General features: G+C 46.9%; 1 protein-coding gene across 5 annotated transcripts in view, besides 6 other annotated features; it reads right to left on the bottom strand.

Annotated features, from left to right (window-relative positions):
- The window catches only part of ACKR3 (atypical chemokine receptor 3), a 45,233-nt gene that overhangs the window by 3,909 nt on the left and 14,703 nt on the right, over positions 1-26,621 (bottom strand). For 2 of the 5 annotated variants that reach the window (XM_047445136.1, XM_005246097.4), the window contains exon 1: positions 10,605-10,644. The gene's annotated coding sequence lies outside the window, so the exon portion shown is untranslated. Of the gene's footprint in view, positions 1-8,521; positions 8,622-9,844; positions 10,341-10,604; positions 10,645-17,556; positions 17,666-26,621 lie in introns of those variants that run through there. The other 3 variants (XM_047445135.1, XM_005246098.4, NM_020311.3) reach the window with 3 other exon arrangements.
- Positions 9,385-10,260: an enhancer, noted in NCBI's record as "H3K27ac-H3K4me1 hESC enhancer chr2:237476829-237477704 (GRCh37/hg19 assembly coordinates)". NCBI's record gives its function as "activates a minimal SCP1, AML or CMV promoter by ChIP-STARR-seq in primed H9 embryonic stem cells {active_cell/tissue: H9 hESC(primed)}" and the evidence as "EXISTENCE:reporter gene assay evidence [ECO:0000049][PMID:30033119]".
- Positions 10,261-11,136: an enhancer, noted in NCBI's record as "H3K27ac-H3K4me1 hESC enhancer chr2:237475953-237476828 (GRCh37/hg19 assembly coordinates)". NCBI's record gives its function as "activates a minimal SCP1, AML or CMV promoter by ChIP-STARR-seq in primed H9 embryonic stem cells {active_cell/tissue: H9 hESC(primed)}" and the evidence as "EXISTENCE:reporter gene assay evidence [ECO:0000049][PMID:30033119]".
- Positions 10,562-10,611: a silencer, noted in NCBI's record as "silent region_12476". NCBI's record gives its function as "represses an Ori minimal core promoter by ATAC-STARR-seq in GM12878 lymphoblastoid cells {active_cell/tissue: GM12878}" and the evidence as "EXISTENCE:reporter gene assay evidence [ECO:0000049][PMID:35858748]".
- Positions 24,469-24,558: an enhancer, noted in NCBI's record as "active region_17362". NCBI's record gives its function as "activates an Ori minimal core promoter by ATAC-STARR-seq in GM12878 lymphoblastoid cells {active_cell/tissue: GM12878}" and the evidence as "EXISTENCE:reporter gene assay evidence [ECO:0000049][PMID:35858748]".
- Positions 24,579-24,718: an enhancer, noted in NCBI's record as "active region_17361". NCBI's record gives its function as "activates an Ori minimal core promoter by ATAC-STARR-seq in GM12878 lymphoblastoid cells {active_cell/tissue: GM12878}" and the evidence as "EXISTENCE:reporter gene assay evidence [ECO:0000049][PMID:35858748]".
- Positions 26,340-26,569: an enhancer, noted in NCBI's record as "active region_17360". NCBI's record gives its function as "activates an Ori minimal core promoter by ATAC-STARR-seq in GM12878 lymphoblastoid cells {active_cell/tissue: GM12878}" and the evidence as "EXISTENCE:reporter gene assay evidence [ECO:0000049][PMID:35858748]".

Raw genomic sequence — 26,621 nt, 5'->3', positions numbered from 1 at the left:
CCGTCCTCAGAGTCACCCACTAGGAGGAATCAAGCCCTGTGACCACGGACTTATGACAAGCCCTGATGCCCAAGCATGGGAGGCTGCCCATGGAGGTGAGCCAGGTCAAGGTCAGGACAGAAACTCAAAGCAGGAGGCTTGGCACACTTGTCCTAAGACGCAGCTCTAGAACTCCAAAAGGACGTAGGCCCAGCAGGGAGCTGAGGACACCCTGTCCTGCCAGACTGCCTCCAGGGTGGACGGGCAACCCCAGGCCGTGCCTTGAAGCTACTATCGCCATCTTTCCTTGGCCACCAAATGACCCAGAGCTGACGTTCCACTCTCCACCCCGTGATGCCAGGAGACAAGGATTTCACCTTTGCTCTCCCCACATGGCTCTACTGCAACAATCCTTGTTCCTTTCTCCCATTTCCTTAAAACGAAACACATTTGCATCATGGCTTGGTTTCCAAAACACTTTCCCCCATGATCTCATCTGACCCCAGAGTCCCGGGGAGCAGAGGAGCTTGAATGGAGGACCGCCCCACAGCTGGGCAGCAGCAGGGACAGCAGCTGGGTCCAGAGGGAGCTCGGCTGGCGCCTGGCTTGGGCTCCCTGCTCTGTCCCCACTGGCACAGCCACACAGCAGAAGCTGCCATAAATCCTGGGGTTTGGGCCATTCACAGGGGCTAGAAAGAAATGACCCTCAGTCTTTGTTCGCCCGAACTTGGATCCCGAATCCGCCCCACCTCTCTCCCCCACCATGGTGACATTCCTCTGGCTCAGGTCTTACTTGCCCTCCAGTGTAGAGACATGTCAGATGCCGGCTGGCCAGGCGCCTGGCCACTGCTCAGCATGGACAGGCCCCAGCAGGAGGCAGGGTCACTCAGTGAGAAGACGCCTGGTTCCCACATCTCGAGTGTGTCCTTCCTTCCAGTTCCTCCACTCTTAGCACAAAATAGACACTCACCCGCTTTGAGCTACCAGCAGCCTTCAGTATTCTCAGAGCCCAGAGTGGGACTGAGAGGTGGAAAAGGGCTCAGGGACCCCCATCCAGCCCTTGGCTTTCTACCTTTGCCTCTTTGGGTGACGAAAATTTGATTTAGGGACCATTGGTCCTCTGAGTCAAAAACAGTATTTCTGAGATAGGCACTTCCCCGCTCAGCCGTCCTCGCCTCTGTCCTTGCTTCTCCCCTCCCGGGTGGCACAGTGGGAAACTTCCAACAAGGGCATGGCTGTTGCTGCCCAAGGGCTGAATGAGAGAGCGGAGGCTGGAGCTCCTCACTGCCCCACCGATCACCGGCCACCTATCATCACTCACCGATCACCGATCCTCAATCATTAACCACCAGTCAGCCCAAGGAACAGCAGCCCACACTGGGGCTGGCCAGGAAACAAAGCCAGAGGCCCACACCCTGACCACCTGCTTTCCTCTCGGGGCCTGGACGGGCCTCTCCCTTCCCACCACCAAAGGTTCCAGGGGTCAGATAGGAAGGAAAGTACAGTGAAAAGGGAGATTAAGCAGACAGTGCAGTCATCAAGTCCTCTGCAAATTCAAATGGGAGCTAAAGAAAACAAAAAACAGAAAAACAAAAATGTCATACTATAGCTTACCCTTTTGTCATTTCGGTATTTTTCATGCATTAGGTTTCAGAAACAAGAGCTGTCTCCAGCAAACAGATTATTATTTGACAAAGACAATCCCCTTATTCAAAATAGGGAACTGCCGTGTAACATGGAAGGTGGCCTGCGACAAAGGCTCTGGCCGCCCCAGCCTGCGTGCAGGACGTTTAGGGTGGGCAGGGCCCACTTTCATTGACCACCATTCACTGATGGTTGTGCGTCCACTATTGGAGCAAAGAATCTTCCTAAATTACCTGCTTAGATCTTAATAAGTGACACTCTCAGAATCCCTGATAGGAACAAAAGCTTCATAGAGCAAACTATGAAATGTGTACCCAGGGCCCCTGGTTCTCAAAAGCCTGGTGACAAAGCTCCCTGCAAAATCTGAAAGTGGAGAGAGGGAGGGAGGCCTCTAATGAACCCCCAGCGGGCCCTGCACAGAAATCACAGGTCCCCTCAAGCAAAAGCAGGGGATTACCTCATCCCATACAGAAAGAGCTGACTGCATTCCGCACAGATCTGGATGGGCCAGCCCTCGGGTCCTTGTATACATTCTTAATGCCTCTCAGCCTGTGCGGGGTCTGTTTACGCTGGGAAGTTGGGAAGGCCGATAGCCACAGGGCCTGAAGGAGACATCCACTTAGACCAGTCACCCTCTGCTGGAATCAACCAGCAATTCCATTCCCGCTTGAGGCCAGGGTCTAAGAAACATGTCTGGGTGTGAATCAAACCTGCCCACTGCCTGCGTCTCTAGGGCCTCAGTGCCCATGCCAGGGCAGGCAGGGGAATGAGACCCACTTCTGACACTTAGGTTCTAAGGTTTCTGCATAAAAGATTCCAGGGGGAAGGAAGGGGAGGGGGTGCAGAACAAAAGACGTTTCTTTCCAGTTCTATGATGATACAAATTCATACGTTTCTCTCCTCAAAATATTCATGTGTCTCCAAATGTACACAAGATGTTTTTTAAAGCAGTATTTATTTACGAGCAAACACTGGAGACAACGTAAATGTCTTTCAACAAAGGCACGACTCAGTAAAGCCTGGTGTCTCCGCCATCTGGAATATAATACAGCTGTGAGAGGGAGGCCTCCCTTCATGCACAGGGAGAGTTACGACATGCTGTTCAGTGAAAGACAATACGCAGACACACGCACACACAGCACAACCCCAGAAACGCACACACAGCACAACCCCAGACACGCACACACAGCACAACCCCAGACACACACACACACAGAGCACAACCCCAGACACACGCACACACAGCACAACCCCAGACACACACACACACACAGCACAACCCCAGACACACGCACACACAGCACAACCCCAGACACACACACACACAGCACAACCCCAGACACACGCACACACAGCACAACCCCAGACACACGCACACACAGCACAACCCCAGACACACACACACACACAGCACAACCCCAGACACACGCACACACAGCACAACCCCAGCTATGCAGAAAGAAACACAAAAATTACATTTGTGTATTTTTATATGTAAATACATGTGCACGAAGGCATAGAAAAAGACCTGCAGTAAGTATAAAACTTGGGGCTGGGAAGGTAGGAGGAGGGAACAAAAGGAGACTTGTAGTTTTTACTCTATAAACTTCTGTGTTATTTGAAATTTGACATCAAGAATTATGTAAATTTTCATAGAGGGAGGAATGGTCCACAGAACAATCGAGGTTCATGTTGCATTTTCCTGGACCACAGAGACCCAAGGGAGAACAAAAAGCAGTGAACGTCAGCTTTCATTCCCTTTTTCCCAGCGCTTGCTCTGTTTTATCTCATTCATTCCTTCGTACAGGGGTCACCTTTTTAGCGGCCCTGTCGCACGTTGCAGTGACAGGGAGAGAACTTTCCCGTGGCCGGCGGTGGGCAAGCACCTGTCCAGCCCTCCATCCCTGCCAGCCTATGGCCTGCAAAGGGACTCCTCTGTCACTCACAGCCCAGATGGTACTGGGGCTCCTCTTGTCAATTGCAGGACTTTCTCGGAGATGCACCTCTCGTTTCTGGGATGTTTTATTCATCAACCAAGTATCCTTGACAACGACCGTGCTGCAGCAAGCAGCCTGGGGTATTTAGCCACATCCAAATGGTCTCCCTGAGCTCACTCTGCAAGCTGAGGGTGAAGCCGGAATTACAGGTACTCAGGTTTAGAGCCTTCATGGGTGGTGGCTGAGTATGCAATCAGCATGTCCTCACGCTGGTTAGTTCCTTCCAGAGAATGCCACGTGTTCAGGCACCTGGCCAGTGTCCCTCCAAACTCCCTTCCACATGTTTGCAGTCTCCAACCACAGACTCTTCCCAACTGATGCCCTCTGCCCTTCTGATTCTCCCACCTTCTCCTGGCCCCACACTGCACATCTCTATTCTGGAATGGCTTTTGTACCATCACGTTGTTCAGGTTTCTTGCCCCTCCACCTCATTCCTACCAGGCCCCGCACCCCCCACCAAGTCTTCTGTAACTTTGTGTAGCTACAGCTATACAGCTATACAGCTACAGCTGCACATAGTAGGTACTCAATGAGCCAGCAGTTAATCGTGCCCCACCAAGACCAGCGACTGTGGCCAGCAGCGGAGACGGGCGTCCAGGAGAGACTTTTCTGAAATCGTCACCGAGCTGGTGTTGACGGACTGAGCCTCTTGTTCCAGGAGGCACTGCTCTGGGGCACGTGAGGACAACAAATCAGAAACATCTCCCCCCAACCCCCGAGACCCCGCCGGCTAATTGGGAAGGCACGCAGGCCCATCACCCCCCAGGCATGAGCAAGGTGGTGCATGCCCCTTCAGCAGGAAAATGAGGGGTTTCTACTCTGGTGGCTTATGGGGGACTTCAAGGAGGTAGGGGTGATCAAGGATGTTCCAGGAAGGCACAGCCATGGGTAGAGTCACCCAGCCTGGCTGAGGCAAGGACTCTCCACGAAGAGCAAATGGAGGTAAGAGTTGGGCCTTAAAGGGTGGGCAAGGAATATGACCAGGGCTTGTCCATGCAGGAGCCAGGACAGTCTAGAGCAAGGCCATGGCTTTGGAGCAGAGGAGGCTTTGAGAATGGAAGTGATACGAACCCCACAGGCAGCTTTGCAGTGGGGTGGTCTGGTAGCTGGGTGCAGACCAGGCTGCTACACACACATCACTCCTCTACAGTGGTATAGATAAGATAACTCAGGCCAGGCCTGGGGCCCCGGGACCAGCTCCGAAAAGGGGGACCCTCTGGCCATCTGGGCCCTGCAGGACTTCTGCCTCCTTCACTGGCTTTCTGCAGTGTGAGACCTGTGTCCTACAAGGGAATTTCATGAAGAAACTTGGTATTGTCCCAGACAAGAGCTGGGACAGTGGCCCTCACTGTTTGCACACCTGGAAACTGAGGCCAGGCCGGGTGAAGAGACTGGGTTATGGTGCGCTTGTGGCTAAGAACAGAGTTCTCTTCCCCTTTCCAACATCTCCAGGGACTCTCCAGCGGGAATCATGCTACAAAAGCAAACGCTCTGGTCTCCTTGAGCAGATAACACCTCTTCCACCAGGCCAGCCCCGCTTACGCTGAGCCTGCAAGTTAGATCAGGAGAATCCACACTACCTCTGAAGAACCATTAGGCAACTGCGCATCATTGAGTGGGGTGTGTGTGTGTGTGCATGTGTGTGTGTCTGTGTGTCTGTGTGTTTTTAACCAATGCTACATCGAATCTATGGGGAAACCAACCAAGTAACCTAGGGGAGCTTTGGCCCAGGCAGACTCTCTGTGACTATCTGCTAGGGCTGATAGCAGAATGGGTAGCTGTCTGTCCCCTCTGCTGCCAGCAAATGGAAAACAGTCTTGACTACACATTCACTAGTGACCGTGAGTGATCTTATTTTATGCAAGTACATAACTGCTTTGAATTACTTGAGAACGCAAAAAATAATAACTACAGAAAACTCTATATCCTGATTCAGATACAGTCCACCTCTTCCCAGGGTCCTTAGACATACTTCACATGAACACGTGGGACACCCTCGTCCACTTTAAGGATTTGGGGGATCAAATAAATCCCACGTCCAGAAACCTGATCTGGTCTATTGTGCTCAGCTGCCCGACAGGGAAGCAAAGCTATACCCACAAGAGCAGGTCCAGAGATTCCCACGTCACAAAGGCTGCCGTCTGGGCCGGCCCAGTGTAACCAGAGCCCTGATTCCCACCCAGCTTAGGACTAGGACGAGGCAGTGGGAGGTCAGCCAGGCTAGGAGAGCCTCCTCACCCCCGCCCTAAGCCAGACACAATGGGGTTCCCAGGAGGACACTGTGCAAACTTAGGCTCTGCATATACAACTGAGGGAGGATGGCCACATATCTGTTATAGCAGGAAAAGCAAAAGATGCTTACTATCTGGCTGACCCAGACTTCAAAACGCAAAGTCCCCCACACTGCCCTGGGCTCGTTATCTGTCCCTTTGCCAACAGTGGTTCAAGGCCACCTGAGATAGTCTCGGCCCCCATCCACTTTTTCAGTGCCTGGAACAAAACACAGTCTGCTTCCAAAACTACCTGTGGCTCTTTAAAATTGTCACCATAAAATTATGCAATTCCCTGATCACTTTAATATTGAAGCAATAGTGTTTTGTTTTGTTTTTTTCAATTCCAAATTAGTCGATAAAAGCATCAAACATTCCCTGAAGGAAACCATCAAATATTCAAAATCAGGGCCACCGCCTGCACGCCTCCCTGTCCTGATCTGTCTATTTCTGGCTTGCTTTCTTTTATTTCAACAGAAAATACGTGTCCTGGAGCTTTGTCTTTTCCTTCCTGAACTTTAGTAACACTTGACATGACACGATCTTTAGTTTCTTCCTGAATTATGCCTACACACGTGCAATCCAATTGAAGGCGTTTTAATACTATTCTTGCTTCTAATAATAAAACTAAGTTATTTGATTGCCTGGTTTAAAGGTACAAATGCCTTCTGGCCCCAGATTCCCCTCATGTTCTACAAAATCACAAAAAAAAAATCTAAAGTTTTGCAATCTTTGAGGTCTTTTTCTTTCCCCTCGGTTACTCTTAAGGTTTATAAAGTGACTGCCCTTCAGCCTCAGGTTTGAGTGACTTCAACCAATTTCCCTCACGTCGACTTGAAAACAGGAGCTCTCGCCCTAAAATGATCACACAAAAAGCCACTGTTCCTGATTAAGCAGGGTTTTTTGTTTTGGGTTTTTTTTTTTTTTTTTTTTTTTTCATTCAGAAAGCCTATACTTGGCCTGTTCTGGGCCTGATTAGAAATCATAATACCTTCTCAACGCTTCAACGACTTGCTGTTAATACGGGGAAAACACACCCCCAAAGCCCTGCGTGTGTCGCACAGGCATGCTGCCTTGGCGATGCTTTATGGAACTTTTTTAAAACTACGTCTGCAATGTCTGCCCCTTAAAAGAGAAAAGCTGATGGGCAGCAAACTGCAGCCATTTCTCCATCTTCCTTCGCTTTCCCACCCCCATCCTGGGCAGCTTTCCCCTCCCCCCAATCTCCTGGAGGTTGTGGCATTAAGCTCTGCAGTTGTGTGCACATTCAAGTGTTTATGGCAGAGACTGGGGAAAAAAGAGCAAATTGTTTCCAAGCTAGAGCTCCCATGTGCAACTTTGCTTTAGAAAAGACTTTCCATCTGGGGAAAGCTCATATTCTGATGAAAGAAGGGCAAGCAGTTTATCCATTTAAAATCTATGGAAAGTTAAAGCACAGAAACCAGCAGCCTCCACTTTCTTTGCTAGGCGTGCCTAGCTGATGTCCACATTTTTCCTGGAATAAATAAAGGGACACTAAAAGCAGCATCTGCCTTTAAAAAAGAAAAGAACAAAGTTACCATGTTGAGACTTTGCAGACTGAAGTTTCAGGGGATGTCACTGCACCAAATACATTCAAAGGGCTGTAAACCATTTAAGGAGGCTCTCTCCCACTTTTGAAACACTAAGTAATCCTGTTGTGAGCAAAAGGAAAGAAAGAAAGAAAGAAAGAGGAAGAGAGAAAGAGAGACAGCCAGTCTGACTTTTACAACTTCTCATTCTCCCTGGAAGTTACAAGTCTTGGCTAACCACCCATCCCTGACCTCACTCCAAAGTTCTCTCAGTCACTCCTTGAATCTTTGCACATGCCAACAAAATTGAACAAAATCCACATTTTACCTGAAGAGTATATTTAAATTGCAAAATAGTAGATTTGTGTGTGTGCTTCCCCCAACCCCAATTGAAGTTGGACTTAACACCTTCTAAGAGAACAATACTCAAATTAGATTAGCAAGCGTGCCATCAAGAGAAGAGAAGACCGGGCTGTGTTTAACATTCACGTTTATAGCTTCCGGACTTACAGACTCTGGTAAATCCCCCAAAGTACTGAATTCAAATACATCTTGGACTCACAAAGATTCTCAGCAGTTTTCTGCTCCATTTAAGGATGCCTCTTAATAAAGTGTTCATCATTCTGGAATTACGTATTTACTGCCAATTTTATCTGTTTCCAAACTGATATACTAGAAGCAAAACAGGTAAACAGTGGGTGCCAAGCTAATCCCCATGCCAAATTGGTCAGGCAGAATGGATAGTCTGTGTTCTTGCAAAGTTCCCCTGCTTACTGGAGCTTAAATAGCCACACAGCAAATAAACACCAGATTCCTAAATACACATGGAAATTTCCTTCTGCAAGTGACTTAAGAAAACTGCCCTTTGCTTTCTGAAGAGAAAGGTGAAGCCCTCCGAATTAGCAAAAGCACTTTGCAATGCAGCTGCGTGCAGCCTGGGTTTTCAGAAACCAGACCCGCAGACTCAAAAGCACCCATCTGAGCGATTTTAAAGAAGGCCTTTGAAAAGACCACTTGGCTTAAGAGCAGAAGCCGTGCCTTCTTTCCGAGCAGAGCTGCTGCCCGAGCACCGTTTCCTTACCTCCGGGCTGGCTGGGCTGGCTGGGCTGGCTGGGCTCGCTCGCCTTCCTGGCTGTGCTGTGCGCTGGCTCCCTTAGTGCTGAGCACTTTGCAACAACTGTGAGCTCTGCTGGCTGCAGACTTGCATTATATACACTGCAGAAAGGAGCCTCTAGCCTCTAGATGGCAGCTTTGTAACCCACATCTCTCTCTCCCCCGTGCCACCCCCATCCCACAGGCAGACACACACACACACACACCCCCCTCTTGTAAACCTCACTAGTCTGTTGTTTCCTGCACAAGTGTACTCTTGGGAAACCCCAGCCTTCTTTCATTTGCAAAATCTGGTGAAGCCACAAAGTCCAAACCCCACGGGGGGAAAACGTCAGCCAAAGACAAACTGCAAAGAAACCCTAGTGCTTGGCAAAATCATCAAATATTTATCTGGTCTCAGGTATATCTTGAATAATCCCATTAACACCAAGAGCTCCTGTGAATGCCTCTTCGCTCTAGGGAGGACTTTGTTCCCAAGACAAATTACTCTGAACTTCTGAACTTCGATGTTGATTTACTAAGCCTGGGTTTTCCTTGTTAATTCCTCCAAAACAGAAGTAACAGTTTTGGTATGACCAATGAATCGATGCCACACCGTATATCCCCAAAGTGGAGAAAAGAGTCTTTATAATAGATTATACTTGAATACTTTTATTTGTAAAGGACTTTAAGTACAAAATCCTTGAGACTCTAATCAAGATAGTATTCTACAGTGTCTGCCCAGTGCCAGACACGCATTAGGAAGATAATAAATGCCTTTTGATAATGTCTTTTTCTGAGATGAGTCTGGCAAACACTTTACTACAATTATTGCAATCTACATTCTTATTTGGATGCGTATTGCTAAAGTTCCCCCCACGGAGGAATTCAACCTAAAAATGTGATCCAGGTGATACTCATCTCCAATGCCCCATTTACAAAAATCGTCCATAAGATAGGGACCCAAAGGCCACCCGCCAGCCCATCCCATGTGCAATGCTCTGGCTTTCGTATTGCTTTCTGATCTCCTGGAGTTCTTAAAGAGCGGCTCAAGTGGAGTGTATGAAGGCACCAGCTGTATTCACGCCTTCTCCAGAGCTAAAACTTTTCGAGATTCTTTTTATACTTCTACTAAAAATAACAGCAGACGCTCGGTCCCAGCGCTGAATCTGGGGGACTGGGAGGTCAAAGTCTCACGTGGCTAGAAAGTCTCCGTGTGGAGAAAGCCCTTAACGAAAGAAATATTTTGTTTAGCTAAAAGCTTCACATTTTTCTCCTGAACTGGCTGCCCAGCGGGAGGCGAGGTGCACACCTGCTCTCCGGGGGCCTCCGGAGGGGTCGCCCTGGGGCCGGCCTTTCCCAGCCCGAGCGCAGCGTCCCGCCACCGCCTCTGCAGGGCGGCGCAATCACTCTTCGTGTCACATCGGCACCAAGGACATCTCCAGGCTCCCCAGAGACGCTGGAAAGGAAAACTGCCAGCGGCTGCGTCTACCCACACCCAAGATCTAGGCGAGACCTCGACTCTCCACAGCATACGTGTCCTGACTTTTTCTGTCCTGTTTCTTTCTTGTGGGGGACCCTGTGTCTGAGCCCGCTGGAAATGTACGGGGATCCCCTCTGGACTGCAGCTCGGTTTCCGCTTTCTGTGGCTGTAGCCGTGACTCCGGGGCCTGTCCTTCAGAGAACGCGCTCCGCATTGCAGAGCCTGCGCGCCCGGTGGAAACACAGAGTGGGTGTCAATCCGTTCTGAGCTAAGTGTACTGTCGCTGGAAGAAAGGCCACATGGGCCGGGGACCCCGGACAGGATGCTAACGTAGAGGAAGGAAAAGGCAACGCAGTTTTTTTAAAAAGTAGAACCCGCTTCGTGCGTCCGGGGCCAGAATCCACGAGGCCGCCTTGCAGCAGCCTGCGCCCTGCCCCGCCAGCCCCGGCCCCGCGCCCACCCACGGCCTGCACCCAGCCCCGCACCCACACACGGCCTCGCGCCCTCCCACAGCCCCGCGCCCTGCCCCGCACCCACCCACGGCCCGCACCCACGCCCTTCCCCGCGCCCAGACTTGTTCCGCACTCACGCACGGCCGGGCACCCGGCCCAGGCGCCTGCGAGAATTCTGGCCCCGGGGTCACCGCCCTCGCCCTTCGACGTCCCCCACCCGTCCCCTAGTTCCGCCGGGCGGGGCTGCTGGAGGCTTCCAGACGGGGAGGGGCGGACCAAGCGCCAGCGGGGAATGGGGCGGGGTGGGTCGGGAACTCTGGCCAGGCTCCCACCCTGGGAGGAGGAGCTGGGTGCTTGGGGCCTGAACTTGGCTGTCTCCTTGGGCCTCCCACCCTGTCCCAGAAAACAGGCCTGGGGGAAAACGAGAGGGTAAGCAAGCAGGGCTTTTTGAGAAAACGAGATTCCATTGCCCTAGGACCTAAAAGTCTCTTTTCAAAGTTTTGAAGAGTGTCTCTGCTTTTGGAAGATTGTGCTTTCAGTGTAAGGGCAGAACTCCACCTCCATCCTCTAGGGGTCCCGGCTGGGTCCGAGAATTAAATTGACATAAGATAGATGAATAGGAGGAAAGCATAGTGCAAGTTTCACGCGGCATGGGAGCCCTCATACAGAAATGCAGACCCGGCCGGGCGCGGTGGCTCAGGCCTGTAATCCCAGCACTTTGGGAGGCCGAGGCGGGCGGATCGCGAGGTCGGGAGTTCGAGACCAGCCAGGCCAACATGGTGAAACCCCATCTCTACTAAAAAATACAAAAAATTAGCCCAGCGCGGTGGCGCGCGTCTGTAATCCCAGCTACTCGGGAGGCAGGAGAATCGCTTGAACCCGGGAGGCGGAGGTTGTAGTGAGCCGGGATTGCACCATTGCAATCCAGCCTGGGTGACAGAGTGAGACTCTGTCAAAAGAAAAAGAAGGGAAGGGGGAAGGAAGGAAGGAAGGTAGGAAGGAAGGAAAGAAGGAAGGAAGGAAGGAAGGCAGGCAGGCAGGCAGGCAAATCCTCCTTGGGGAAAGAAAGAAAGAGGGAGAGACAGAGAGAGAAAGGAAGAAAAGACAGAGAGAGAAAGAAAGAAAAGAAAGAAAGAAAGAGGAAAGAGATGACGACCCGAACAAAGAAAGCAAGAAAGAAAGCAACAGAGAAAGGCAGGCCCTAGCAAAGAAAAGGAAGGAAGGAAGGAAGGAAGGAAGGAAGGAAGGAAGGAAGGAAGGGAAGGAAAGGAAGGAAAGAGGGACAGACCCGAGCAAGCAGTTCGCGTCCACTACTTAAATACTGGATTAAACAGAGAAGAATAAACTTTGAAAATGTGACTAAAAAGATTAGAGTGACGCTCTGCAGTATTCTTTAGCTGGCAGCTTCTAGTCCTAAGGATAAGGATGCTGTCTTCCTTCTGCTATGGGGAGAGTGATCTTGCACCTGCTGTTTTTCAAGTGCCTTTCACTGAAACAGTTACCATGCCAGAATGCATATTTTAACCTTTTCAGTAAGGTCCAATATAATGGTTCTTTTGGGTGGGAATGTGTTTGGTGGCACCTAATAGAAAACTCAGAGAAGGCACGAACAGGACGCTGTCCCTACCGCTGTCCCAGCTGACCCAGAACTAAAAGTTCCTGGATGTTTTGCTACCCCTGAGTGCTTATTGGAAAGGGGTCAGGAAGGGGTTTCAGCTAAGCTCCTCCCTCCTTCCCTGTCTGTAATCTGCACCTGGGGTTGCACGCCCCACAGGGCAGGTGGTCAGCTCTGTCTGCTCTGGGATCTGATTCGCCTGTAGATGTGGCACCACCAGGCTTCTTCCAGAAACCGCACCTGACTTAAAAGCGTGAGGATCCTGGCGGGCCAGAGCGGCGGCCGGTAGGGTCTGTGATCTGGGAGCCCCGTTAGAGTGGAGACAGTGCAGTTATGGTGACTGTGATATGAGCCCAGAGAGGCTCAGCTGCGCCGCTGGCCTGAGGACGAGGCGTTCCTCATTCTTGGAGTTGTGACCCTGGGAAGAAGCTTCATTATCTGGTAGCTGGGCATGGCAGGAGTCATTTCACCTGGGACTGGACGCTCCCCCAGAATAACCGCAACACCAAGCCCCTTCTGCAGGGCAACGGCTTAAAAGCAAAGACAGCCCCTCAACTCAAGGGAATTGGGTTCCTCTGTCCAGACAACCTGGCTTGGAACCCTGATATATACACACTGTAGGGGTGGGAAAAGTCTACCTCCCTCCTCTTAGGGTCCCAGCTGAGTCCAAGAATTTAATCCACATAAGATAGATTAACAGGAGAAAAACTTAATACAAACTTCACGCAGCACAGGAGCCCTCATAAAGAAATGAAGACCCCAAAGAAGTAGCTAAAGTCAGTTAATTATGTAGTGGATTGGACAGAGAAGAGTTAGTTGTGAAGAAGCCACTAAATTATATGGAGAGGCTTAAAAGATAAGAGTTATTTTTAACAAGATCTGTACAGAACTCTCCCAGTTTCGACTTTGACTATATAAAAATGTTGCATCATCTAGGGAGGGCATCTTTCACATAGGAATTTCACCCTCTGCTTTTAAGAAACAGCAGGAAGGTCAAAGTCATCTTGTTGCACCTGCTGTTTTTAAAGTGTTGAACTTAGTCAATACGCTGGAATCGCATATTTTAACCTCTTCAACACCATGTCTCCTCAGATAACAGCCTCTTTGAATGTTAGGTTCCTATCTTTATAATTATAATAGAGCCTTCTATTCTAGCTGGGTGCTTGTCAGGATTAAACGAGAGGATGCACATGAGTGGTTTCTTGCAGGTATCTAGAATGGCTATTTCTCTTCCGCTTCTCTCCTCTGTCCCCAGCCAAATTCCAGTGATAGCATACAGTTTTAAAGGAATGCAACAGATATACGTTCCAAGGCTTGACAACATTTTTGAACTCTCTGATGAAGTTTAGAAAGGTTTTATAGTCATAGGTAAATCTGAGTGTTCATGTTTTCCCATCTTTCTGTTAAGTATGTTGCCTATCTTCTTTCATTTTATCTTCACAGCAGCCATAAAGGTGGCACTGTCTTTGTCCCACTTTTGTAATTGAGGAAACTGAGGCCCAGAGAGACCAGGTGACCTGCCTAAGGGTGGCTGTGACTGAATGGCCATGGCGTTCCAATCCAAGCGTGCCCGATTTCATGGCACATGCTTTTACCTAGTACCACAGAAAAAATATATTCTTAAAAGAAAAACAATTGTAGAAACCTATAGCAGAGGGTGTTAAGTCCTAAGACTGCAGACTTTTTTAAGTCTTAAAAGTAGACCCTAAGGTAAGAGTTCAGGGACAACTGATTTATTAAGGAAGTGCTTTCAAAAAAAAAAAAAAAAAAACTAGGAAGGAAAAGAGAAAAGGGCAACCAAGGGTATGATTTCTGGCTAAATCTCAGCCTCAGTGTGATCCCCATGGCTCTCTGAGCCTGAATGACACCCTGAGTTTGCCCCTGTTGCCAGATAGAAGGTCTTCACTGAGTGATCCAGGTTCTTAGCACATTGAACAAAAATTGAGCAAAATGCACAAACAAAGCAACAAAAGAACGAAGCAACAAAAGCACAAATGTATTGAGTGAAACTACACTCCACAGAGTGGGAGCAGGATCCATCAGGTGGCTCAAGAGCCCCAGTTGCAATGTTCTTTAGGGTTTTTATTAAACTAGAAGAATTTGGTAACACCCCTAGGTACCCTTTAGAGGCCTCCAATAGAGTCCTCCAACTGGGTTACACCTCATGCCAATGAAGGATTGGCCTGTGACCAATCAGGCTGAAGTGAAGCTTGGCCTCTGACCAATCAGAGGCATTTCCCGAGAGGGGGTTTTTGCAGAGGGAGGGGCCTCTGGCCCCTGTCGCAGGGGCATGGAAAGGTGGAGTTTTCCTTTCGGTCCAATTCCAAGAAGTCAGAGGCCGGTGGGCCTTAGGCTCCCTGTCTCCAGACCCTATTCTCCTGCCTCACCCCAGCTGCTGTCACAGGGGCTGGAGTTTCATACCCCTACATCCTCCAACTACTGGATTAGGGCTGCTGGGTGGTAGGAGGGAGGGTGCAGCCCCTCAGATACTTCCTGATCACAGCCTGTGGGGGCACAGCGGCTGCAGTAACCCACCTACAGACAGTCTCTCAAGGGTCAGTTCCAGTCGCAAGTCTGGGCAGTAAACCCACGTTAACGGTGGAGGGGAGGCACATCAGAACCTAAGGGGGTCCCGGAATCTGGGAACAGCAACACCAGTATCCACCGCACTGTCTATGGCATCTCTCATGTCAATTTTGACCAAAGTGGAGGAGTGCTCTCTAATTAATCCTCAGACCACTCTGCTTCTACCTCAGGGCCTTTGCACCTCTCATTTCCTGGAATTCTCTTTCTGGCCTGTTATGTGGCCACCTCCTTATTATTTTGATGCAGGCTTAAATATAATTGCTTTAGAAAACCTTCTTTCGACATTCTAACCAAAGAATCTTCCCATCCTAGTTACTCTCTTCTTATCCTATTTTTTCGTGGCACTTACTACTATCCAAAGGTATCAGTGCACTATCTATCTTCTCCCCAACTGGAGTATAAATCCCTAGAGGGCAAGAACATTGCTATTCTATTCAATGCTGCATCCCTGCTTCCACACACTGTGCTTGGCGCGTGCCGGATGCCCATAAATATTGACTAAATGAATAAAGTCAGGTGAATGACACTTGTGAATCAGGTTTTTGTCCTCTCCCTATTTTGCCCACCTGCTTCATCATGGAAATATGGGAGTAGGGCAGGGGGACAGTATCCAGGGTAAATGTTTTAGGAAAACTTAACACATATACTTTGAAAATTGGAAGTACTTCACACCTAGGAATATGCAGATACACATATGAAACCAATACACTTATGAAAAGGCTGGGCAACTTCCTTAGTTATTGGGGAAATACAAACTGTAGTCACAATGCCATCCAACTGCACACCAACCAGAAGGGCTTACATGAAAATTACTGAATGTGAACAAGGATGTGGAACCACCAGAATTCTCATGCACCAGTGCTTCTCCAGCGCTACATGGTGACAGACCAGCCTTTCTTTCCTTTTAAATTTCCGTTGCAGACCAAAACACATGGTCCCCATTGCACGTGAAGCTCCTCCCACACCCGCCTCATAATGCAAGTGTGACAGTATCCAAACTGGTCAATGCACTGCTGGACGAGAAGAGCCTATGTATTTGTATGTCAAAGCAACATCAAATTTCTATAAAAGTTTCTAAATGCTGACGCTTAATTTCTGAACTTATCTCGTTGCAGTCTAATAACAAATAGCTCATAGTCCACACTCTGAGGGACACTGCTGTCCCTGGAGGTAGGAATGTGAATTGGCATGTCCACTTTGGCAGTATTCACTAAAGTTGAACATACTCTTACCTTGTGACCCAGAAACTTCACTGCAAGGTACATGCCCAACTTCAAGTTGTATACATTGCACCAGAAGAAATACTCAAAAATGTTTACAGCAGGACTATTTATGAGAGACCCAAACTGAAAATAACTGAACATTACTAGAAAACATTATAGACCAATATCCTTCATAAAGAGAGACATAAAACCCTTTTAAAAATAAAAAAGCAAAGCAAATCCAACATATGTACGATATACTGTGACTAAGTGGGATTTATACCTGAAATGCAAAATAGGTTTAACATTTGAAAATAGTATAACTTGCTAAATTAATAAAATAAAGCATTTGACAAAATTCAAAATCAATTCATGATAACAACTTCACGTGCACTAAAAATAGAATGATTTTGATTTGACTTACTTCCCCAATTTGATATTCGACATGTATGAATTTGACGTAGGCCTCATATGAATACTTAGAGCCAACATCATACTCAGTGGTTGAACACTTCACTTCTAAAATGGAGAACAAAGCAAGGATATTCATTTTCACCATTTCCCTTCAACAGTGTACTAGAATCTCTAGCTAATGCACAAGGAAGAAGAAAAGAAATAAAAGCCATATGGATTGGAAAGAAAGATGTAAAACAACTTTTATTATCAGTTGACAGGATTATTTATGCAGCAAATCCTGATGAGTGTACAAAACAACTTCAAAAACTAATAAGCCAATTTAGAAAATCCGAACAATACAAACTCAGTATACAAAAGTCAGTCATGCGGCCAGGTGCAGTGGCTCACGCCTGTAATCCCAGCACTTTGGGAGGCCAAGGTGAGTGGATCACCAGAGATCAGGGGTTTGAGACCAGCCTGGCCAACATGGTGAAACCCCATCTCTACTAAAAATACAAAAATTAGCCAGGCATGGTGGCACACACCTGTAATCCCAGCTACTCAGGAGGCTGAGGCAGGAGAATCGCTTGAACCCAGGAGGCGGAGGTCGTGCCACTGCACTCCAGCCCGGGCAACAGAATGAGACTCCGTCTCAAAAAAAAAAAAAGTCAATTGTGTTTGTATATATCACCTTGAAACACATAAAATTCATAGGAATAGATTTAACAAACGACAGTCATGACCTCTAAACTGAAAACAACAAAAATAGTACCGAGGGAAATTAAAGAAAAATAAAATAAATGGAGAAGGATCTTGTTCATGGATTGGGAGACTCACTTGTGTTGTTATTTTCTTTCCATACTCTTCTTTTTTTAGATTTTATTTTAATGTGGTAAGAACACTTAAAAGGAGATCTACCCTCTCAACAAATTTTTAAGTGTACAATATATTATTGTTGACTAGATATAATGTTATACATTTATACATCAAAACTTTATGCTTACTGATTAGTAATTCCCATCCCCCAAACTCTCGCCTCTAGTAACCATCATTCCACTCTTTGATTCTATGAGATTCACTATTTTAGCTACCTCATATACATGGAATCATGGAGTATTTGTCTTTCTGTGACAGGCTTCTCTCACTTAGCAAAATGTCAAGTTTCATTCATGTTGTCACGTATATCAGAATTTCCTTCTTTATTAAGACGGAGTAATATTTTGTTGTATGTATATACCACATTTCCTTTATCCATTCACCTGACAAAGGACATTTAGGCTGTTTCCTTACCTTGGATACTGTGAATAGTGCTTTAATGAACTGAGAAGTGTTTGTATCTCCTCAGGACCCCAGTTTCAAGTCTTTTGGATAAATACCCAGATCTGAAGCTGTAAAACTCCTAGAAGGAAACAAAGGGGAGAAGCTTCATGACATTGATTTTGGCAATGACATCAGAAGCACGGGCAGCGAAAGACAAAATAAACAACTGAGATTATATCAAACTAAAAACCTGCACAGCAAAGGAAACAATCAATGGAGTAAAAAGGCAACCTATGGAATGGGGGGAAATATGTGCAAACCATTTATCTGGTAAAGGGTTAATCTCTAAAATATATAAGAAACTCCTACAACTCGACAGGGAAAAAAAGAACAATAGTCTAATTTAAAAACGGGCTAAGGACTTGAATAGACATTTCTCCAAAGAAGACATGCCTATGTCAAATCAGCATATGAAAAAAGATCATCGAACTCAAGACTAATGGCTGAATGTCACTAGTCATCAGGAAAATGTAAATCAAAATCACAATGAAATATCACCTCACACCTATCAGGATGGCCTTTACAAAAAAAAAAAAAAAAAAAGGCAACAAGTGCTGGTGAGGACGTGGAGAAATTGGGACCCTTACACACTGTTGGCAGGGGTGCAAAATGGTGCAGCCACTATGGGACACTATATGGGGCTCCTCAAAAAAAATTAAAAATAGAACTACCATATAATCCAGCAATCCCACTTCTGGATATGTATTCAAAAGATTTGAAATAAATGTTGTTAATGTCAGTGCTCTCCCAAATTGCTCCATAGATTCAATGTAGTCCTAATCAAAATCCCAGAAATTTCTTTTTGTCATAATTGGCAAGTTGATTTTAAATTTTATTGAAATGCAAAGAACCTAAAAATAGCTAACACTCTCTTGAAATGGAAAGTGTTGAAAGACTCACAGTTTGCAATTTCATGACTTATTATAAAGCTATATTAATGGACCTAGTGTGGTATTTTCAATAGGACAAACGGAGCAAGGAAACAAAATAGAGAGTCCAAAAATAGACTCACACACTATGGTCAATTGTTGTTTGACAAAAACACCATGTGACGGTTGAAGGACAGTCATATTAATCTGTGGTGCCGGAAATCAAATAGTCATCTCTAGAGGTGGGGACAGACTGGAAGGGAATTTTCTGGGGGTGCTGGAAATGTTTTGTGTTCCCACTGGAGGAGTGGTTATGTGGGTATACACATTTATCAAAGGACATCAACTGTACAGTTAAGATCTGTGCTTTTCATTAAATTTTACCCCAATAAAAAAAGCAAGTTGCAGAATGTTCAGATAAAGTGATACTATTTAGGTACAGTTCTAAGCACTCAAAGCAAAGCACATATTGTTTGTAGAGCTATACAAAAAACCACAGATGGAAGAAAGGCTATGTACCAACTTGAGGACAGAGGTTACCCTGGGGCAGGCAGAGAGAGGGAAATGAGATGGAGGGAAATACATAGGAATATTTTCAACGTCTCTACAATATTTTTATTTTTTAGGCAAAAATATTCACAATTGTTAGACCTTATTGGTGAGTACATAGGCATACTTTATATTACTTGCTGTTACCTATATTTGAAATTTTTCATTCTCAGCTTTCGCTTTCTTAAGAAAAGAAAAAACCCCGAATAGAAAGTTCTGAGTGAAGCATTACTTTCTCTACTTTCACTTCATTGTAAAGTTTGACACAGAAAAGAATTTTTCTGATCTCTGAGTAAGGCCAGGAAACTTTTGCCATGAGAGTATATCAAAGCACAGAGGGCCTAATGGGCTACTAAACACATAGGGTCAAACCCAGGTCACATTTTTATGAAAAGTTGGTAACATTCTGAAGTATTGTGATTTCACACTCCTCAAACATCAATATATAGATTTTAGCTTCAAAACATAAAAATGATTCAGCTTAAAAATATCTAAGTCCTGCAGGGAATTAAAGAATAAATATCTCAATATATCTACTACAATTATTTGGGTTGATCATGGTTTTAAGATTTAAATTTTATATATGCTAATAGTTATATTTTTTTCGTTTCCACTTACATTTGAAAACACTCTAAAGAGCTTAAAACAACGTGAGACAAAATTAATTAATAAGAGAGACCCTTCCTTCCTTTTTATTTTGAAATAACCATAAACTTAGAGAAAAATTTCAAGGTAAAGAACAAAGAATCTTTATTCCCTGAACCATTTGAGAGAAGGTTGCTGAACTCATATCCTGTCACCCTCAAAATACTTGTGTGTATTTCCCACAAATAGGGATATTCTCCCGCTTTATCCCAATGTAACCACAAAATCCGGAAGTTAGCATCAACACTTTCCTTCCTTCAAGTTCCCAGACCCCACTCGAGTTTTGCCAGCAGAGGTAGGAGGTCAGCAGGATTCGTCTCCCAGACCAGATTGAGAACAGGCCAAAACTAGAAAAAGACACAAAAAGCGCCTCTGGTTGTTCTCGCTGCCCATCACCCTTAGCCATTCCTGCCAGCACCATGACAGTTTACCAATGCCATGGCAACAGCCGGAAGTTACCACCCATTTCCTAGCTATTTCTGAATGACCCGCCCCTTCATTAGCATGTCATTAACAGTGGATGGAAATATGACTAGCAGCGGCCCATAGGCTACTACTCTCCACGCACTGCCTATAGGGTTGCCCTGCTCCCCAAGGAGCAGGCACGGAGATGCATCACTGCCGGACTCAATAAAGCTGCTTTTTTCCACCACCAGCTGACTGTTGAGTTCTTTCCTGAGCAAAGCCAAGAACCTGCCCTGCATCACAACTATCCCGAGCGTGTCTGTTCTAGAGAAAGACTCCTCAGAATCACGTGGTGCCTTTAGTTGCTGGTCTCTGCAGTTTCCTTCAGTCTGGCCCAGTTTCTCAGTCTTCCCTTGACTTTCATAACCTGGACACATCTGAACATAACAGGTTGATTATTTTGTAGAATATCCTTCCATTTGGGTGTGTCTGATCGTTCCTTAAGATAAGATTCAGGTCTCACGTTTCTGGCATGCATATCATAGAAGTGAGGGTGTGTTCTCATGGCAACCCATCCAGTGGTCACCAACACCAATTTGTCCCATGACTGATGATGTTTGCTGTGATTGGAACTGGCTGTCAGGCTGTTCCACTCCCTTTTCTCTATGTCATTAATAAGTATTTTGAAGGAAGATTCTTTAAATGTATGCAAATATCTCATTCTCAAACTTTCAATTTATTCATCTGTTTATTTCCATCTGTATGAACTTGTGGTTTACTGTTCTATTTCGTGAGTTATAATCCATTACTCTCAGTATTTAGTTGACAGCTCAGATTATTCCTGATTTGGCCAGTGGGGGCTAGCCTCTATGTCCTTTCAATATATGGCCATCATTCTTTGAATACTTCCTCATTTTCTGGCACAAAAAGTCAGTGTGGGCTCATCTTGCACTTTATTTAAGATTCCCTGGAATCTGCCTTTCCAAGGAGCCTTTGTGGAAAACAAGATTTAGAAGCCAAGATCTGGGTGCAAAGTGTGCTCCTTGCTATTGGTGTGTTGCAACTTCCAGGCTCTCTCAGTGGTAAAAGCCAAGACATCTATACGTATGCACACACACACACACACACACACACATACGTTCACATGAAAATATATATGCACATATCTGTATTAACAGTAATTGGTTCCCACCAGCATCTCTAATTCCAATCCATTATACAAAATTCATTCAAGTTTTCTCCATTTCCATGTTTGTAACTCCTTTCTCCATAGTGAGAGACCTAGCTTCCATTGTCCTCGTTATAATTATTTATTTGCTCAGTCCCATTGGATGTAACTTTATTAGCGTCTTATTGTTGCTGAAACAAATCACCATAATGTTAGTGGCTTAAAACAAGACAAATGGCCGGGTGCAGTGGCTCATGTCTGTAATCCCAGCACTTTGGGAAGCTGAGGTGGGGGGATCAACTGAGGTCAGGAGCTCGAGATCAGCCTGGCCAACATGGCGAAACCCCGTCTCTACTAAAAATACAAAAATTAGCCAGGGATGGTGGTGGGCACTGTGATCTCAGCTACTTGGGAGGCTGAGGCAGGAGAATCACTTGAACCTGGGAGGTGGAGGTTGCAGTGAGCGGAGATCACAACATGGCATTCCAGCCTGGGCAACAGAGTGAGACTCCGTCTCAAAAAACAACAGCAACAAAAAGACAGATGTATTACCTTACAATTCTAGATATCCTGGGCTGAGATCAATGTGCCAGCAGGGCTGCCTTCCTTCTGGAGGCTTTGGGGCTGCATCTGCTTTCTTGCCTTTTTTAGCTACTAGGGGCCACCTGCATTCTGTGGCTTGGGCCCCTCCTCGAATCGCTCCAACCTCTGCTTGCATCCTCACACTGCCTACTACTGGCCCCCTGCCCCCGTCATATAAGGACCATTGTGACTACAGTGGCTCCACCTAGATAATTCAGGATAATCTCCCATCTCAAGACCCTGAACTTAATCACACCCCTTTTGCCATATAAGGGACGATTCACAGGTTCTGGAGCTCAAGATGTGGACCTCTCTGGGGGCTCTTATTCAGCCTCCCAGCCTCCCACAGTAACTGACCTCCCATCTCCGTGGCAAGCGCCACCCTGGCTGCACACAAGCACCCTCTTCTTGCTCAAGCTCCAACTCCTCCAAGTTCCTGGTCCCCTGGTGTGGATGTCCTCCTCACCCTGTCTGGGACCTGATACCCCGACTGGGTGATCCTTCTGTGAAAATGCTCCCCTCACCCCACATGGACTCTAACTCCTCACACAGGAGCCCCCACCCTGGACACCCTCCTCACCCCACTCTGAGCCTCTGTGGCTCCCATGGCAGATTGCCCCCACCTACTTGCTCTAGGACTGAATTGTTGAGAAAGGAAAGGGAAGACATGGGGAGGAGCAAGATCTTAGTTTCTAAATACGCTGTCCCTAAACATCCTTCACAACAAATTCCCAGTTCTAGCTAAAGTGACATTTGCTTCTACAGAAGCCCTGTGGCAAAGGAGTGAGCCAATGCCTCCTGCTTCTTTTTTTTTTTTTTTTCCTTTAAGGTAAAAAGGCCATGTAAGTTGATATTATTTGTTGGTAATTTCCAGAAACCCAACTAGAACTAGTTTAAGCAAAAAAGTAGGCATCTGCTGGCTCATGTAACCACATGGAGGCAGAATGAGGGCGGAGCTGGCCTCAGGAATGACAGGAACCAGGGGCTGTCATGACATCAGGATGTCTTCTCTGTTTCTTTTCTCTGCTTCTCTCTCCTCTTGGATGCATCCTCTCAAGCTGGAATCAGAGCTGAAGGCAGCTTTTAGGGCTCATTTCTTCTTAGTTTCATGACCAGGTATGAAAATAGACTTCTCTTTCCTAGTCCCATTTCTGACACAGCTCAGGAGTCACTCCCTAGATCAATCACCATGACCAGCAAAACGGGTCAGTTATGGATGAAATGGCAAAATATGAAACGGTCCAATGGTCCTGCTCCATTTTGCACTATCAGAGTGCAGCTGGAGCAAGTTTTTGAGGGGAGATATTCCCCACCCCTGCAGAGACCTAGACCTATAGAAGTGTACTCGTGCCCATGATTGGTATAGAGTGAAGATTCTGAATTGTCACAGAGGTAAGATGTGTAGTTTACAAGAAACAAAGCAAAAGCAAAGAAAAAGCACAGCAGAAAAACGGCTCATGTATTTGAAGGGCTGTCAGGTGAGACCTCATTATTTCCAGAAGCAGCACTGCTTCAGTGTGAGCAGGAACTTCCTGAGCATCTCAGACAGGAAGTGGAGGCCACCTGCCGCTGTGGATGCCTCAGCATGAGCTTGGCAACCACTTGATTGGCATGTGAGGATTTGAGATTTAAACCCTGAGGACGGGGGACGGAATATAGGACCTTTACAGCCCCTTCCAAACTTGACATTCAGTGAACCCCTACTCTGATGCTTATCGACTCACCTCCTCTCAGCTACAAATGCACCCTTTTTGCCTGTTCTGTGAAAATAAGTGTGGGCCCCTTTAACTATTTCTACTATGCCAGTTGGCATGATATTAAGCTTGACAGGAGAGGGTGCCAGAGAGATACAGCAGGAGGAAGGGTTTTGTTTCCTAGTTTGGTGTGTTAGCATCTAGGGCTCCTGCCCTGCTCGCACCTGCTCTGGTGCCCAGTTCTCCCAGAGCATGGCAGCCAGACCCTTCCCTGCACCCCCTGCTGTTTGCGCTGGGTGCCTCTAATGAGACACTTCCCCATGAACAGCTTTCTTGGTGCCCAAGAGGACAGGTTTCTGGCACCCAGGGAGTGCTGCAGTGCTCTCTCCAAAACCTAAACCTCAGCCCTGGGGGCAGGGGCTTCTCCCTGGATGCCCTATCTCAGCCCTAGGGGTCATGACTGCTCCTATGTCTGCTAATCCCATCTTCCTTAGAGTTCTGTTTACTTCTTTCTAGCCAATCCCTCCTTACTCCAGTCCTCTGTTATAATTAAAAATTCTTTGAATCAAATATTCCCTGTTCAAGTTACTGTGGAGTTTCCTTCTCTGATACATCTGCCTTTCTTCTAAATATTACTTTCTTCCTGATGCCTTCCTGGATAGCTCTTATTTGGAATTGATTGCTCCCTCTGGATCCTTAGTGATGCTCCACATTATACATATTTGTATAAGATGCATGAAGAGTTAATAACCCCTCGAAGTTAAGGGACTATGTCTTACTCACTTATTTTCCCAGAAGGGAGGAAGGGAGAGGGGCAGATATCAGAGCCACCTAGGACTTTTTCCAGTGACATCTTCCTCCATGAGATTGAGCTCTGTATCCACCCAGGACACAGCCCTGAGGCTCGTGAGTCACTCCTGGTGTACTGTGTCCTCATGAACCTCTGTCCAGGACCCTCACCAACTACGATGCAGACAGCAGGTGGGAAACAATTTTCTGAATAAAGCTCTACGCAAACAGATTGTTAAATAACACTACAGGATAAGCTTCCCAGAATGACGGAAACAAGTAGAGATGAAATATTCAAAACATTACCAAAGAAAACATTTTCATTTTCTAAAGACATCTGAGACACTCCACTCCCTTTACTGCAGCAGACGCTGACAAACCAAGAGGCCTCACTCCACAAGCCCAGCACTCGCAGTTCGCAGCTTCTCTGAACATAGGCTTGCTGGTGCCCCTCCCGCATGGCGGGAAACCCTCCTGAGCTTCAGGGGTTTCAGGGGCTGGTCCACATGGGTGCCTTCAACCGTGGCCAGGGAATTGGGAGCTTCCTTTTTGGTTCTCAGACTTTACGCAGGTGCTTCTGCATCTGTGACTTAACTCACTGAATTTGTGATCCTGTTCCAAGCAACCAGGTCATTTTCCAGCTCAGCCTATGTTCTCCTATGCTGGGAACCTTGGTGATGTGTTTTCTCTCCCTCTGGCCTTTCTTTATTGGCTTTTCCATGTCCTGTTTTTTTCTGCCTCAAGCAAAATTAAAGAGTTCCCCTTAAGGGACTGTAAGCGTATATCTGCCAAATGGCACCTGTGGTTTTCCTTAGGCGTTGGACATATGATGAGCCAAGCTCTTCCATCTGCCCCTCCAGGTCTACTCTCTGCCTTCCTCCACCTACTGTCTGCCTGGAAGGCTCCTGGGGCCTCTGGCTTCGGAGTGGGATTCACCCATGGGGCCCTCAGCAGGGGGGAGGAGGAGAGGGATATCACCTGCTCTCCCACCCTCCCCCCAGGGTGCACTGCAAAGCAGCCAACCGCAGGCAACTGGATCTCCTCCGCAAAGGTGGAGCCAGGTGTTGTGCGGCCTGGAACGGACAAAATTAGGGTAGTCCTGTAAGAAAAGGAGTATCACATGATAAACAAAATGCCAGTGTCATTCCAACCACCAAGCATGGGCCAATGTGCAGAAGGAAATAAGAACGGGAAGAGAAATAGAATAACCTGATCCTGGCTAAAATGTGTGACTTCTGCAAATTTCTCAAACACTTTGCTAACATGAACACATCCTGAGGCCTCTCCTAGGGCCTGGGAAGAGGCCCGTACAAGTGGCCAGCGTGATATCTCCTTAACCTTCCTATGACCCTACTTCTCGGCCCTGGGGTCCCCTCCCTCCCTGGGTCCCTCCCTCCCTTGTCCCTTCAGTGGCTACATGCTCTATGTTATTACTCAACTCCAAGTTTCCTACACGCAGAGCATGCCTCTGTAAATATTCCTTTGAAACCAAATACTTCTGAAATCACCCCATTCCAACTGCATCATCATAGTTCATCTATATTTTCTACCTTTTTAACAATAGCAAGCATTTACCATTTTTTCCAAATAAAATTATCTCTCTCCCCTCCTCCCAAAAAGGAAAGTTGTTTTGAATCACTGCCACGATAGTGATCACCACTACGCAAGAATGAAAAGGAGGGGGGAAAGACTGGGAGGACAGACACCAAAACCTGAGAAGTGACTTTCTTCAGGTGATGGGGGACTGTTGACAGTTTCCCTTAGTTCTGATTTTACTAATTTCCTCAAATTTTCACCATGTATAATAGAAAGTAGTTGAATGAACTTCAGATGCATGATCAGCCCTTCTCTCCCCAGCATCTGTCCCCTCCGACGCCCTCACATCCACCCGGAGGACACATTGAGAAGTCCTGGCCAGGGCGACTGAACAGCAAGGTCTCCCTCCCTTTTCACTCTCCTTTCAAGGGCTCACAATGCACATTTCCATCTTAAAAGACCAGCACCATTTTGCTCTGGGAAATCCCCTGGGTCTTCCTTACAAAATTGTAAATACCCTGCATCAGAGTATTGGATGGGAAACCCAGGCAGAAAGTTCTACGGGGGTAGAGACCAGGTTTCAGTTACCCAAATGCTGATTAAATAAGAGAAGAAGCCAGGCCCGAGTGCACAGGAGGGTCACCAAGCCACGAGGAGGGGAAGGACAAGCAGGCCGACCAGAGCTGAGCCTCTGAGCAGAGGCCGTGGCTACTTGATCTGCCGGGACCAGGGCAACGCTGTCTCAGAGTCGGGTGGGCCCAGCCCCTCCTAGCCTTTTGTAAGGGGTCCCACATGCAA

The sequence above is a fragment of the Homo sapiens genome, chromosome 2 (assembly GCF_000001405.40).
Source record: "Homo sapiens chromosome 2, GRCh38.p14 Primary Assembly".
Taxonomy (NCBI): Eukaryota; Metazoa; Chordata; class Mammalia; order Primates; family Hominidae; genus Homo; species Homo sapiens.
This window is presented reverse-complemented; position numbering and strand designations above follow the sequence as displayed.